Here is a 15,347-nt window from a genome sequence, read left to right on the forward strand (position 1 = left end):
CTGGTCCAGGAAACCCCGCAGGTGCTCAGACAGTCCTCTTTTTAATGTTATCATCATTACTGTTATTGCAGAAATGGGGTCTTGCTGTGCTGTCCAGGCTGCTCTTGAGCTCCTGGCCTCATGCAATCCTTCTCCCTTGCCCTCCTAAAGAACTGGAATTACAAGTGTGAACCACCGTGCTTTTTGTTGTTGTTGTTTTTTGACAGAGTTTTGCTCTTGTCATCCTGGCTGAAGTGCAATGGCACAATCTTGGCTCACTGCAACCTCGGCCTCCTGGGTTCAAGCGATTCTCCTGCCTTGGCCTCCCAAGTAGCTGGGATTACAGACACCCGCCACCACGCCTGGTTAATTTTTGTACTTTTAGTAGAGATGGTGTTTCGCCATGTTGGCCAGGCTGGTCTCGGACTCCTAAGCTCAGGTGATCTGCCCGCCTCAGCCTCCCAAAGTGCTGGGGTTACAGGTGTGAGCCACCATGCCTGATCCCAACTCCAATTTTTAAGAGTCATATTCAGTGACTGCCCTCTCACCCAGAGCACTGTTATTTCTACTATTTCATTTTTAGAGTGACTCCAGTTCCACATTCCTCCTCCTACACTGCTTATATACCCACCTTGCAGTTTCAATGGGAATATTAAAATACTCACAGATGAAAAACCAGACAGAAGACATCTCAGATGGTTTTCCCTCACCCCCAACAGATTTTTAATTCATTCATTTCTCCTCAATCTGGCCTACAGAGAAGGGAGAGGCTGAAATGAAAGTAACAGCTGCTTCTCAACGGTGGAGGAGCATGAGGATGTCAGTGTGTCGCGCTTGACAGCTGTGAACAATCTTAGAACATAATTATGTAACCTCCTGCATGTGGAGCTTTCCACCCTTCCAGAACACTCTCATGTGTCCCTGAGCTTTATTCTTACAGCAACCCAGGGAGCTGATCAGCATGAATGAGGCTGGAAGGAGGCTCAGAGGTAGGTGAACTGCAAGGTAGAAGATGACCCAAGATTAGCCCTCAGTCTCCTGCTCCCAGGATGCTGTCACCTTTCATAGTTTTGCTTGATTTTCATAGGAAGCATGTAGAAGGGCTTGTGGGATTGTATATTGGAGAAATGGTTCAGCAGGAGTATGTAGAAATTCAAAGTACATGCATTAACATTCCACTGGAAGGGCAAGAAGAGCAAGTACTGATTTGCTTCATCTTACAAGTAAGAGACATTTCAGAAACATGATCAAATTAACCACACCTCTGCATTCTGAATTTGGGAGTCCTAAGAAAAGAGTTAAGGATAAAGTGAGAATTGAAGCTGTAAGATGCCTGTGGCTGTGATGAAGCTTAGAGAAGCAGATTTGGTCTACCAGGCCCCCTCCCAATCTTCCCCAACCCCCACCCCATCCTCACCATTCTTCTGTGTTCAACATATGATTGTCTTTATCAGCCACCTTTAAGAAGTTGCTGATCCCTGCCTGTAATCTCAGCACTTTGGGAGGTGAAGGCAGGAGGATTGCTGGAGCCCAGGAGTTTGAGAACAGCCTAGGCAACATAGTAAGACTCTGTCTCTACAAAAAATAAAAAATTAGCTGGGTGTGGTGGCTTATGCCTGTAGTACCAGCCACTCTGGAAGCTGAGGCGGGAGGATTGCTGGGGCCGGGGAGGTTGTTGAGGCTGCAGTGAGCCATGATTGTACCACTGTACTCTGGCCTGGGCAGCAGAGGAAGATCCTGTCTAAAAAAATAAATAAATAAAAAAAAAAGAAGTTTCTGATTCCAAGGGTAATGATGAAATGAACTCATCAGAAACTGAGACTAGAGCCACTGACCCTTGTGTACCAACAGATTTTTCTTCTTAAATATCATTATTTCAAGCTAATTGTTCATCTCTAAGGCTCAGAATTTCCCCAAAATGCTCAGGTTAGGAAAACAACAGCAAACTTTAAATATATACTAAAATTACAATGTACAAGTGTAAGCAGGAATCACATTCTTCCTGAAAGAACTAAAAACATCACTGGCAAAGTCTCTTTAATTTGCTGGGATTAAAAAAACAAAAGAACATCAATTAGATTGCGTCTTCTGGTTAGATCTCTCTTTCTCTGAGAGGGGAACTGACGCAAGGAAATCAAAGAATGTTACATTTAATTAATTTATTCACCTTGACCTACTCCCAGCCCAATATGTATGCTGTTGAGATTTCTTTTTACCTGATTTAGAATGTTAAAGATAGAATGCATCTCAGCATGCATACGTGCACGTGTATGTAGACATGCACGTACACATCCACATTTAATTCTGAATTAATTTATTCTTTCTCAGGTCCCTTAGGTCATAAATGAATTCTAAATTAACATAACTGTCTGGCTTATCCATGAAGACTGCCTGTTCTTGAGGCATGATACATGAAATGTAAGAATATTAAAAAAATAAAAATTGTCCTCACACCAGGTAAAAGATAACTTAGGAGAGAAGAAAGTTCCCATCTTTAGAAGAGGAGACTTAATTGGATTTCTGACCAATTGCTGAAATACCCTCCATTACCATGTGCTCTGACCATCTCTCCCCTCCCGCTTCACACACCTAGAAACTGACATCAAGTCCTACATGAGGAAAAGAATGTAAATTTTCCTTCCTCCCAGAAGGGAGAAGGAATGGGGAAAGCTGTTTTCCCTCCCTCTCAGCTTTCTCCCTTGTGCGCCTGCATGCACACCAGATGGTGTGAAGCCGCAGGTTGGAGGGAGACAATAAACCCAGAAACTATTGCAATATTAGGTTATAAAATGACTGACTTTCCAACAGGCATGCATCAGTGGCTCACTGATGAATGGGAGGAGTATTGGGTAGAGGGAGGAAAAGGCTGCTCAAATAAGGAGCTGTAATCTTCAGCCCCTTGTACCCCGACCTCCACACACCTCCCAGGAAGCAAAAATGCAACAAGCAAAGATGCCCTCTACAACACAATCAAAACAGGCTCTCTCTCTCTCTGGCTGAGAAAGGGTCCCAGCAGAGTCATGGAGCCTGAGGCTGATACAAAGCAGCTCCCTCAAAACTGACAAGCACCATTCTGTCAGTATCTTATTTGCAAAGAAAAAACAATATACCCTGGCTGTCACCCCACTATGTACCTCCATGGCTCAGTGACACAGAGCAAAAGGAGAAGGTAGCAGAAAGTGGTGAGTACAGGTACTCTGGCTGGTTAGGGTACAGGTTTCTGTCCTGGTTGCTGTTTTTTATTTCTAAAGAGAGGGCTCAGAGAAATTGGACTAACTGCTGCTCCTCTCAGGCCTCAAGTTTTTCATCTGAGAAAAGGTTATGTGACTAGATGGTCACGGCAGGTGAAAGATGGCTGCATGCATATTCTTTGACACTCTCCCATCAAGAGGCTGGGGCTAGGTCCTGTGCCCTTGAATCTAAGAGGGCTCTGTGACTGCTTGACAGAGTAAGAGGGAAGTGATGGTTTGCTAGTTTTCAGCGTCAGGCCTTAAGAAACTGGCAGCTTCCACTTCATATCTCTTGGAATGTTCTCTCTGGGAGCCCGGATCTTCCGCATAAGGAAGCTAACTTAGACTAAGGCTGTCATGCTATGAGAAAGGCCAAGCTAATCACACAAAAAGGCTGGGGATGGGGGAGGAAGGAAGATTGGAATGAGGGAAGGGGAAAAATGCTTGGTCAGTGAGGTCCAGAAATCATACAGCAATTGTAGGCCATCCGCTTTGTACCCTGTCTGAATTTCTGACTCAAAGAATCACCAGATATAATAAGGTATTATTTTAAGCCACTAAGTTTGGGGGTAGTTTTATGCAGCAATCAGTAACGGATACAGGGATCTATAAATGCCCTTTTAGCCCTAACAACTCTGATTCTGTGATCTTCATGTGTGCCAGTGGTCCTCCAGCTCTTAGCCCATCCTCACTATGGCAGTCATATCCAAAAGATAGAAGGGCTAGGTGCATGCTTATATTGGACTCTCATTGTCTGACTCTACAGAATCCATCTTCCCAGTGAACTTGAAACACAAGAAGCAAGTGGAGCAGAGGGGAGAGAATCTCTTTGAAAACGCAGTGGGAGACAGAGCCAAGTAACGGAAAGAAACAAGGACTAGTGACATCATTTGACTCCTTTGATCAAGTCACCTCTAACCATGAACTTTTCACTGACAGTTAATAAATTAATATTTTGCTTAAGCAAGTTTGTATTAAGTTTTTTTTTTTAATTTTGCTGCTGCTGACACCCCTGCTACTTAATGGAAAGAGGATTTTCACTTGCCCTTGATTTTTTCCGTTCCTAAATAATCAGTCATCAGTGGCAAAATAAGGAATCATCTTAAAGGGGGAAAAGACATATAGGCAAATTTTTCAATATACCGAGGCTCCATTTTGTGGTCCATAAAATGAAAAGGTTGGTCTGTGCTATGCCCAAGGAAGGATGGTCTCTAATATCCCTAGGATTCTGTAAGTGCAACTCTTTCATACAATTCACTGCCACATATAATCATGAAAAGTAAGATAACCCAACAGACTGACATTAATGGCTAGCTAAGCAAACTATCATACAAAGCACAGTGGGAAATGACGTAGCCAATGAAATGCTAAGTTTGGGGACTATGCTACTAACCGGAACTATGTCCATGAAATAATACATTAAGTAATTAGGTAGGCCACAGACTAGTTGTTAAAAGAAATATACAGCATTTAGTAATGAAATAAGAGGAAGAGGGTGGATCACTTGAGGTCAGGAGTTCGAGACCAGCCTGGCCAACATGGTAAAACCCCATCTTTACTAAAAATACAAAAATTAGCTGGGCATGGTGGTGTGCCCCTGTAATCCCACTTACTCAGGAGGCTGAGTCAGAAGAATTGCTTGAGCCCGGGAGGCAGAGACTGCAGTGAGCCAAGATGGAGCCACTGCACTCCAGCCTCGGCGACAGAGTGAGACTCCATGTCAAAAAAAAAGAAAGGAAGGAAGGAAGGAAGGAGGGGAGGAGGGGAGGAGGGAAGGAGGGAAGGAGGGAAAAAGGGAAGGAGGGAAGGGAGGAAGGGAGGAAGGGAGGAAAGGAAGAAGGGAAGGAGAAGTGGAATAATGTGATAGGCTTGAGTAGTGGAGGAGACTGACACAGTGAATAAAACAATCCAAAACCTGAAAGCTGGCTCCAGCCGAGGCCTGATGATGTAACCATCCTGTCCCCAAATCACTGGAACAAACTCCAAGCACAACTATCCAGAGTCATGTAATATGTGTCTGACTCAACCCAGGCTCTAGTCACAGTTGGGTTTCCTGGCTTTCCCAAAGGAAAGTAAAAGCTTCCAATTACCCAGATTCTTACTGGCCTCTTGGTTCTGAAAACCCCCCTTTCTCCTCCCCATAAAAAGCCACTTGACCTCACCTTGCACTTGGGGCCATGGCCAGTTCTGCAGGAAGGAAGCATATCTGCCATCAATGAGCCTATTCCAGCCTGCACAGGACACAGCAACAAGCCTGCCACTGACATTATCAATAATGAAAAACATCACTGCTCCTTGAGCAGCCATCAGCAGTCTATAACCTGCTGAGCTGAGCTAGGAAAGGTACTCAAACAGCAGGAAATAAGGGAGCTTCAGCCTTTAAATTATATTACAGCCATGCAGAGCAATTCCAAGAAAAAAAATAAACTGCATATCAATAGTACTTGGATGGATGATGCTTAAGTGTGGAGCAAGATCCTGAGACTTATCAGAAAGCCTAGCTGAATGAATAAGGCTAATAATTATCATCATGAAATAAATTACACAACCAAATACGGATGCTCTTGGCCCACGACTGCTTAGACACACAATAACCTCAAAAGCACACAATCAGGACTGCCCCTCTGTCTTTCCTAATCCACAGGGAGGACTTCTGTAACACGAATCCCTAACACGGGTCAGGAAACCTAGTCAGGATTCCTGACTGTGTCTCTCTAGCAAATGGCATCCTCTGACCCTCAGCTTCTCATCTGTAAAAGGATTAAATAAGCCAGAAACATTTAAAGCCCAAGACTAGTGAGCACGACGAGTGAGCACATTGGATCTGATGGGCATTTCTGTCATGCTTACCCTTGTTCTTAGAAATGCAAAGGCTGGCCGGGCACACTGGCTCATGTCTGTAATCCCAGCACTTTGGGAGGCCGAGGTGGGTGGATCGCTTGAGGTCAGGAGTTTGAGACCAGCCTGGAAACATGGTGAAACCCCACCTTTACTAAAACTACAAAAATTAGCCAGGCATGGTGGCGCACGCCTGTAATCTCAGCTGGACATGGTGGTGCAAGCCTGTAATCCCAGGCTGAGGCAGGAGAATCACTGGAACCTGGGAGGTGGAGGCTGTAGTGAGCTGAGATTGCACCACTGCACTCCAGCCTGGGCGACTCCGTTGAAAAAAAAAAAAAAAAAAAAGGAAGGAGAGAAGAAGGAAGGAAGGAAGGAAGATTGCAAAGGCTAACAAGTTCGAGGAGTTTAAAAAAAAAATGCAAAACCGATGTAGAAACAGGGAGATAGTTTCTCATCATATCTCTTAAGGCCAAAATATATTATGACCCAACTGGGAATGGTTTCCTGTGGCTATTTTAATTCTATACCTCTCTCCTTCCAACCAATGTGAGGACAGTTGGTTATTACCACCCTCAGAGCAAATGTTGGATGCAACTTCTCAACCACACATTGTTGTTGTCATCACAAATGTTATCTGAATTGTAACATGGGGATAAGGACGTCTGCTCTGCCAAGTTCAGAGGTTATTAAAAGGCCATCAATGGGGATCATGAACATGAAAGTTTCCACCTGTGAAGCTTCAACTCACACGGAACATGGGCATATTCACGAAGGCACGGACTGAGTCCATCTATTCTCATAGAATCCACTTTCCACCCACCCCGCCCTTGTTGACAATCACCTGGCATGATGAAAAGTTACACATACTTGCAAACTGAGTGCACCCAGGCTTACTAGAAAAGGAAGGATACTACCTTATGAAAAATGACGGTTATTTAGGGGTTGATGGACCTACTAAATATAGATTACTTATGCCAAAAATGTGGCCCTTGTATATACTTCAATTTTTCAGCAAATCTCTCTTGAGCATTTACTGTTTACCCGACACTGAGAGGGATACAGGGATACAGTAGAACACAGAATAACACAGAGTCTGTCCTCATGGAGATTATGTTCTATAAAGAAGAGCTGATATTGTATAACAACGAATAGACATTAGAGGTGCAGGTATGGGAATAAAACAAAAACCTAGCCTCGTTTGCAGAGTCAGGGAAGAAGGTCAAAGAATAAGGAAGGCAAAGCATGTTCCAAGGTCTGAAGCCAAGAGTGGTCAGGATAAAGGGCCTCAAAAAAACTCAGAGCCAAGAGAATGAAGAGGGTGGAGGCCAAAGATGGGCTGTGGAGGTGGGGAGAAGCCAAACGGCCCTTAAAACAGGTTAACAGGGATGCTTTTTAACTATAGAGGGAAGTGACATGATGGGGATGACAGAGGGGAGTGACATGATGGGGACAACACTGTTTGCAGCAAGGGGGGTGAGGGGAAATTACTTGGACTCTCCCGGGTGGTTCAAAAGGCCCTGCAGTAACTAGAAATGCCCTTGGGTACTGGATAGAGACATCACGTGGTGCTGAAACAGAAAAACCACCGGTGCAGTAGATGGAGGTAGAGCTGAACTAATCTTATGACATATCCTAAACATTTCACTCATTTTCTTTTATATAATCACAATCCAAGTTTGTCTCTCATAAAACTGAGGTGTGGAAATAATCCTTACCTAGCTTTCTGGCTGTTTGGATTTGGATAAAGAAAAGTTTACTCGTTTATTACTCAAAACCCCACCTGTTTCTAAAAAGGATTTGAGGTCGTTTACAATAAAAAAGGTAAACAGAGACCAACCAAATGTATCACAAGGTAAGGGAGCTCACTGTTTGCCTTCTGCACTAGCTCCCTAGGGTCTAAGGATCAAAAGTTGCAAAGCTGGCCGGGCGCGGGGGCTCACAACTGTAATCCCAGCACTTTGGGAGGCCGAGGCGGGCAGATCACGAGGTCAGGAGATCGAGACCATCATGGCGAACACGGTGAAAACCCGTCTCTACTAAAAATACAAAAAATTAGCCGCACGTGGTGGCGAGCGCCTGTAGTCCCAGCTACTCGGGAGGCTGAGGCAGGAGAGTGGCGTGAACCCGGGAGGCGGAGCTTGCAGTGAGCCGAGATCGCGCCACTGCACTCCAGCCTGGGCCACAGAGCGAGACTCCGTCTCAAAAAAAAAAAAAAAAGTTGCAAAGCTCTGACTTTATGGCTAAATATTTCAATACAGAGAAAAGAATCATGGATGACGGTAATGTTCCCTACGGGGATGGCTAAAATTATGAAACAGAATCAGGTTCTAGGTTTTCTCTGGGCTCATCTTTGGACAAGCCCCTCTCCCAGTCAGGACAGCAAAACATAACAAAACAATAGAAAATTAATAACTCAAAAGCAGTGAGGTCCCCACCCTATGTCTTTAAAAACAGGGGCCCCAGACAAGGTTTCATTCACACACACATTAGGGGTGCCATTAGATCTTGACCTCTGTTCCCTTAGGAAGCTCAGCATAAGTGATTCATTAGCTCCCCAGTAGCTTAACCCAACAGATCCCAAATTTAGTGATACTCAGCAAAACACTAAACATAAAATTCACAAGTTTAGAAGACACCCCCCCCCACCAAGCAAGCAACTCAAAATGCTGTGTCCCCTGCCTATACACCCTTGTCCTCTACACCAATGGGCGTGGAGTCTGCTCATGTGCTGCCCTCCCCACTGTCTCCAAAATGAATCCATTACCTACCCCTGGCTCTATCTGCCTCCCTCCAATTTGACAAGGGCTACAATAGAATGGTTGCTGTATGCACAATTACTATTAGTATGATTACATTAGAGTTAAGTGACGGTTAACAATACCCAAGTGTGTCACTTCCTATATTCCAAGGAGCATTTCTAGAATGACAGTACTCGACTGTGGTCCCCTGGAAACTTCCCAGCTTCATCATAGCACACAAAGAGAGTGAAATTGTAATTTATAATATTTATGATACTAGGGTAAAGGGGATGAGGCTTCTCAGGACCGCAAGTAACCAGTTGCAGGAGGTCTCCACACCCATTCCACCTCTCTACCTACATCCCATCCCTACGCCAAACTGAAAAGCTCTGCCTAAGGAACAAGTGAGTTCACCGCAACCTTCCCTTCATCCCACTCCTACCATTCAGCCCATTTCACCACTGGAGAAACCAAGCAGCCTCTGTTGGGCCCCTCTCTTGTTATCCCTCCTCTACCACTCTTTGACCGCTGTCCTCGTCTGGGAGCTGCACTCCCTGGAAACAGGAGACTCTCTTAGTGCATTTCTTTTTTTGTTTTTGTTTTTGTTTTGAGTCAGAATCTCGCTCTGTCAACAGGCTGGAGTACAGTGGGGAAGTCTCAGCTCACTGTAACCTCTGCCTCTCGGGTTCAAGCAATTCTCCTGCCTCAGCCTCCTGAGTAGCTGGGACTATAGGCGCACACCACCACGCCTGGTAATTGTTGTAGTTTTAGTAGAGACAGGGTTTCACCATTCACCAGGCGAGTCTCGAACTCCTGACCTCAGGTGATCTGCCCGCCTTGGCCGACCAAAGTGCTGGGCCTTAGTGCATTTATTCTCTTCACTTTGGCATTGAGCACAGTGTTTTCCTAGCACACTGAAAGTACTTTTAAAAATGTCTGTTGATTCCCAATGGAAATGAGTGGTAGTGTCTACTCAAAGACCAAAGACGGGTACAAGAGGAAGTGAATGGGAAAGGCATAAAGAAGCATCCAGGGGGTCTAGCAATTTCTCTCCATAGACCTGGGTAGCAGTAGTTACACCAGTTTATACTGTGTAAAAACTTACTGGGCTGTACATAAAAATTTTGCCATTTACCATGCAAAAGTTGTACCTCAGTAAAAAAGAAGAAAAAGCATTTGTTGAATGAATGGCTGAACAAATGAATAAATGAGTCAGAACCATAGCTAGAATCAAGGTCCATTCTCCAAAGCTCTATCACTAACAATGACTAGGATACATTACAAAACCTAAGCTGATACACTAATGAAACCTCACACTGTCTTATGTTTAAAAACAAATGCATCCACAAACATCAAAATTTACCTAAACGATGTCACTAATTCCCAGTTTCCCAATTCCAGCCCTATCCCCACCACTTACTTTATTATCCTGTATGTATAGTTGCTTATCCAGTGCTTCCTGTCAAAACGCCCTTAAAAATAACTTTATATGGACTGTCTGTGCTGGATATCCTGTGTGCCCCTTCATATTCGCTTCCTCCCAGCTCCTTGCCCTGGAAAGCTGACCTCTATGGACTGCATGGAGACTCTATTGCTTGCTGGTTTCTAGTAGCGTCCAGCCAGTGGGGAGCACAGCAGAAAAACAGAGAAAGATTTGAGGAAGACAGGAACATAAGCTTGGAGCATTTATTCTCCTAACTCCTCTGCAAGGTCAGTTGGGATGGCTGCTTTCCTCAACCAGTCTCTCAAAGCATCCGTTCTACCAAATGATCCTCAGGGTTTCAGAAATCTCCCCCTCCCCTGGCTGTTAGGTCTAGGGGTGCTTTACAGTCACTGCACTGAAGACGCACCATCTAGGTGGTTTCCTTTCACCCTAACTACACCTTTGTAAACTGTCCCTATTAAAAAAAAAACAAAAAACTCTTCTATTTATCCTAATTTGGGTGTGCCACCTATCTTCTACTGAGACCCCGACTGATACAGTGTTTAACAAACGGAAAGCAGTTATGTTACATCCACAACATGGAAAGACCATGCTACACCATGTTTGCTGCCTCCATTACCATTTTTATTAGACATCATTTATTACTTATGTAATGTGTTGTGCATGCAGCCATTCCCCTACTCTCCAAATGTCAGCTTCCTGAGGACTGACACTGCTGTAAACCCTAACATCCTTCAGATTACCTGGCATCTAGAAGATACTCTGCTGTTTGCTGCACGAATGGATGAATGGATGAATAAACGGCATGGTAAAATATATGGTGAAAGAAAACAGAAAAGAGAATGTAAACCAGGATTGCCACATGGATGCGTAGAGAAAAGGATGAAAAGAACATAAAGCTTGAATTTTTCTTGTTGTTGTTGTTGTTTTAGAAAGACTGTAGGTGGATTTTTTAATTTTAATTTTTCATTAAATTCGCTATGTTTATACAGCAATAATAATTTAAAAAGAAAATATTTTGTGTCCCTGAAATCTGGAATGAAATGGAAATGTAGCAAATATGCATTTATATATTTAATGGATGTACAAATGGAGTACTAAATTTTTTTAGAGACAATAACATGATTAAATATTAACACTTTCCCTCTGTACATAGCTATTAAAGAGTAATTAAGACTTTCCACAGTGTTAAGCAACCATTTGCCTAACAAAGTTGCCATAATCATGTTAAGACAGGGCAGGTGGAATCAAATGAGATTTATGGCCCCACATTTTTATTATCAGCAGTTCTTCCCAAGCAAGGGACGACATGGCTACATACACTCATTTCTACATGTTTTTTTAGAGGTTACTAAACCAACAATAGAAGTGGAAGTACTCCTAGACAGATGCTGAAGACGTAGGTACTTGTCCCAGATTAACCAGGATGTACCTATGTGCCCCTAAGCCAGTTACTCCACCTCTCTAGAGTCCTTTCCTCATGTGTAAATTAAAGGTCCCTTGCCAAACCACAAATCCCCACAGTTCTGACACTTTTATGCTCACTACCTCTAGTGTTAAGACATCCAATGGCAATGGTAGAAAGTCAGTAAAATTCCTCGGATGCTCCCCCAGGCACTGCCAACTCAGCAGCCCCAGTGCCAAAACTCTATCTCATCCTGAAACTTGCTTCCTTTGGCTCTCTGTAGTCCTTTTCTGAGAATGACTCCACCACCCGTTCTTGCACCCAAGACAGAAACATGGCTGTCATCTTGAATTTATTTCTGCCTTTGTCCTTACAACCCACATCAAAACAACTCTGCTCACTTTGCCTTCTAATTATCTCTAGAATCTGTCTAGTTTTCTCCATAATTGCTGCTCTTACTCCAGTTCAGGCTTCCTGGATTACTGCAACAATCCTTTCTCCTGGACTATTGCAACACTTTCCTAACTGGTCTTCTTTGTTAGTCCATTCCACCGCTTCTCAACCTTGTAGCCACAGTGGTTGGTCTTCCAAAAGGGCATTTCACTTCCCCACTTAAAACGCTGCAATAGATGTTGCCCTTAGGATAGCGCCCTACATCCTGAGGCTGATGCTTTATGATCTAGCCCCTGTTCCCTCTCAATTCTTGCCACTTCCCTAGTTATACTAAGCTTCCTGTGGCTCCCCCAGGAGCCATGTTTTCCCTGGGTTCATGGCCTTTGAACATAATATGTTCTCTGGCTACAGTGCTCTTTCTTTCCCACTCCTTCCTCCCTTTTGGTCTGGCTACCTCCTACTACTGGTCCTTCGGGCTCCAGCTTTCTCTAAAAACTCCTCAGGGCTCCAAAGTAGGTTGGATGCTCTTCCTATGTGCTCCTGTGGCACCCGCTATTTAATACCCAGAATTCTAATAGTCCGCTGGTTGAGTGAAATGATGAGCCACCCTCTGCCCTCGAGTTTATTTCCAGATTCTAGAACAGCGCCTGAGTCCACAGTGAGTAATTAATACAGGCTTATGGGTGGAATGTATGAAAGAGAAGGAGAGAAACAGGAAGAAAGGAACGGAAGAAAAACAATGGATTTCTAAGCAATCCCAAGACCCCGTACTACAACAGGATTTGTGTTAGCCAGGGCCTGAAGGATTCCACAGAAACCTTGGCTGAACACATACTTTCTTAGTTTATGTAACTTAAAAGATAGAAGAAATTCCTGGAGATTACCATCTCCTATGTTGTATTTAAACTGTATTACCCTCTCAAATCATTCAAGATGATTCTGAGCTCATTAAAACAAACCAAAAACAAAAAAGTTCACATCTAGGTCATAATTTGAGGAAAATATGAAGTTGAACTTCCAAATAATAAAATCTGACAATCATTTTGAGTGTTCAGAACCATTTCAAACTAGTTACCCTTCACCACACAGGTCATGCGTATCCTTTAACAATATCTGAATTTTTGTTCATGCCAGTCCTCTACCCTGAGCTCTGCCCATCGCGTATATCAACTCATCCACAATGGCCTCCTTGGCCACCAGTGTCAGTGACTCTACAGTCATCTCACTGTCCTCCCACAAGACCTCATCTAGAGGTTTTCCCATGGTGTACTGTATAATCATAATTATATATTTGACATATATACTGTACAACATGTATCTGTAGTTACTCAGCTCAAGGAATCTAGCTCAAACTCCTATCCAACGTGTCTTTATGAATAAGTAATAGCTTAGTGACACCAAATTACTCAGATTGGGGCTGAGGATCTAGCAAACTCACATGCAAGTACTGCAGACTGATATATGTGCTCTGCGCATCTCTGTCTCCAGAAGTTGCCACGTCTAAATTCTGATGGGCATTTCTGTTGTCAGAACTTGAAAGGGCCAAAGATACAAGTAGTTAAAGATTTGGGGTTCCCAAATAAATCATTACCCTCCTTTCACATGAACCTGTTATTGAAAAAGAAAAAAAAAAAAGAAAAAGAAACACTGAGAGGCAGCAACGGTGGGAGAAGCCATATACTAGGCAGGAACGGCCCGTACGAAACATCTTCAAACAATTCCTCCTCTTTTTTTTTTTTTTTTTTTTGGTTTTTTTTGTTTTTGAGACGGAGTCTCGCTCTGTCGCCCAGGCTGGAGTGCAGTGGCGCAATCTCGGCTCACTGCAAGCTCCGCCTCGCGGGTTCACGCCCTCCTCTTATCCTCACCTCAACACCCAAAAAAAAGGAGAGAGCGACAAAATGACTTCAAAAGGCTTGACTCCATGGTGTATTATCTACTTATGAGTTCTCTTCCCCCAGGCAAATTCAGTGGCAGGACTAAGTCATTTAAAAAGTGGACACAGATGAACGCCTTTATAGACCTCTCTCCCCTTAGAGAGAAAATTGGAGAAGAAATAAAAAGCTTAGCAATTTCTATGGTATTAGGTTTTTGCCTATTACTTTCAATAGAATAAAGACTTATTCAGCAGCATCTTCTGGTCTAGTTTGCCCTTTCATGAAAAATTAACTTTTTTATAGCCCTAAAAAACATCCATTAAGCAAGTGAGGACTTTGAATGTGTCAGCATTTCTATAAGCTAAGTCTTGCGGACCTGACTGTGAAGATCACAATTCTACTTTTCGGTCCTCGGCAACATGCTAGCCATGGGATGGGTGTTTTGTGCTGAAGAGCAGGCTGCAGTGGCTCATGGCTATAATCCCAGCACTTTGGGAGGCCAAGGCGAGCGGATCGCTTGAGGTCAGGATTTCGAGATCAGCCTGGCCAACGTCGTGAAACCTGGTGTCTACTAAAAATACAAAAATTAGCTGGACGTGGTGGTGCATGCCTGTAATCCCAGCTACTGGGGAGGCTGAGGCAGGAGAATTGCTTGAACCCGGGATGTGGGGTTTGCAGTGAGTCAAGACTGTGCCACTGCACTCCAGCCTGGGCTATGGAGGGACACTCTGTCTCTCAAAAAAAGAAGAAGAAGAAAAAAGAATCACCATGCCAGCATAATTCTAAAGGAGCCCCCACCCTCCTCAAAAAGAAAAAGACAGCAAGAGGTGCTCAAGAAGCAGTGGTCAAACTTCTGCAGGCCTTCCCTATCTCCCTAAAATTCACACTGATTCTAAAATCCACACATCAGGGGCTGGCTAAGGCTCAAGGTTAAAAGCTCCAAATAAAACTGAGCTTTGTGGGCTAGAAGGAAAGCTCAAAAATCTCTTTCTCTGCCTCCAGCGGTACTTTATAATAAAGAGAAGAGATTCCGAGGGACCAGACAGCACCTGTGGCTCTCTTTCCACTGATGTCACCAGCACCAGAGCTGGGCAGCACACACAGCCTTGAAGTGAAGAGTGAAGGTCTCCAAGGGGACTCTGAGAGACAGAGAGGCAGGGTCCACCAATACTCCCCAGCATTAACCACGGGCACAAAGCATTTGAGCAAATGCGGTGACTAAAACAAACGCCCGCTGGGCCTCAAGGCCTGAACTGCGTCCTTCATACTCCCATCTCCACATTCCTTTCTAGGTGATTAGTGAGATTACGATTTCCCCTGGAAATTAAAAAGTGATTGGAGAGGCTGTACACAGAGGGCTTCACAGAAGACACCATTAAGTGGCAGGTTGGAAGCAGGGAGGGGCAGAGAAGGGGGTATCCGTTGGAGGCCAAAGAAGAAAAA

The 15,347-nt window shown here is 44.0% G+C and overlaps 1 protein-coding gene across 1 annotated transcript in view, besides 1 other annotated feature; it reads right to left on the reverse strand.

Annotated features, from left to right (window-relative positions):
- Window positions 1-15,347, reverse strand: part of MB21D2 (Mab-21 domain containing 2) — a 121,042-nt gene that overhangs the window by 67,510 nt on the left and 38,185 nt on the right. The window lies entirely within an intron of this gene.
- Window positions 3,278-3,357: an enhancer, noted in NCBI's record as "active region_20998". NCBI's record gives its function as "activates an Ori minimal core promoter by ATAC-STARR-seq in GM12878 lymphoblastoid cells {active_cell/tissue: GM12878}" and the evidence as "EXISTENCE:reporter gene assay evidence [ECO:0000049][PMID:35858748]".

This window comes from Homo sapiens, chromosome 3, assembly GCF_000001405.40.
Source record: "Homo sapiens chromosome 3, GRCh38.p14 Primary Assembly".
In the NCBI taxonomy this organism is placed as follows: Eukaryota; Metazoa; Chordata; class Mammalia; order Primates; family Hominidae; genus Homo; species Homo sapiens.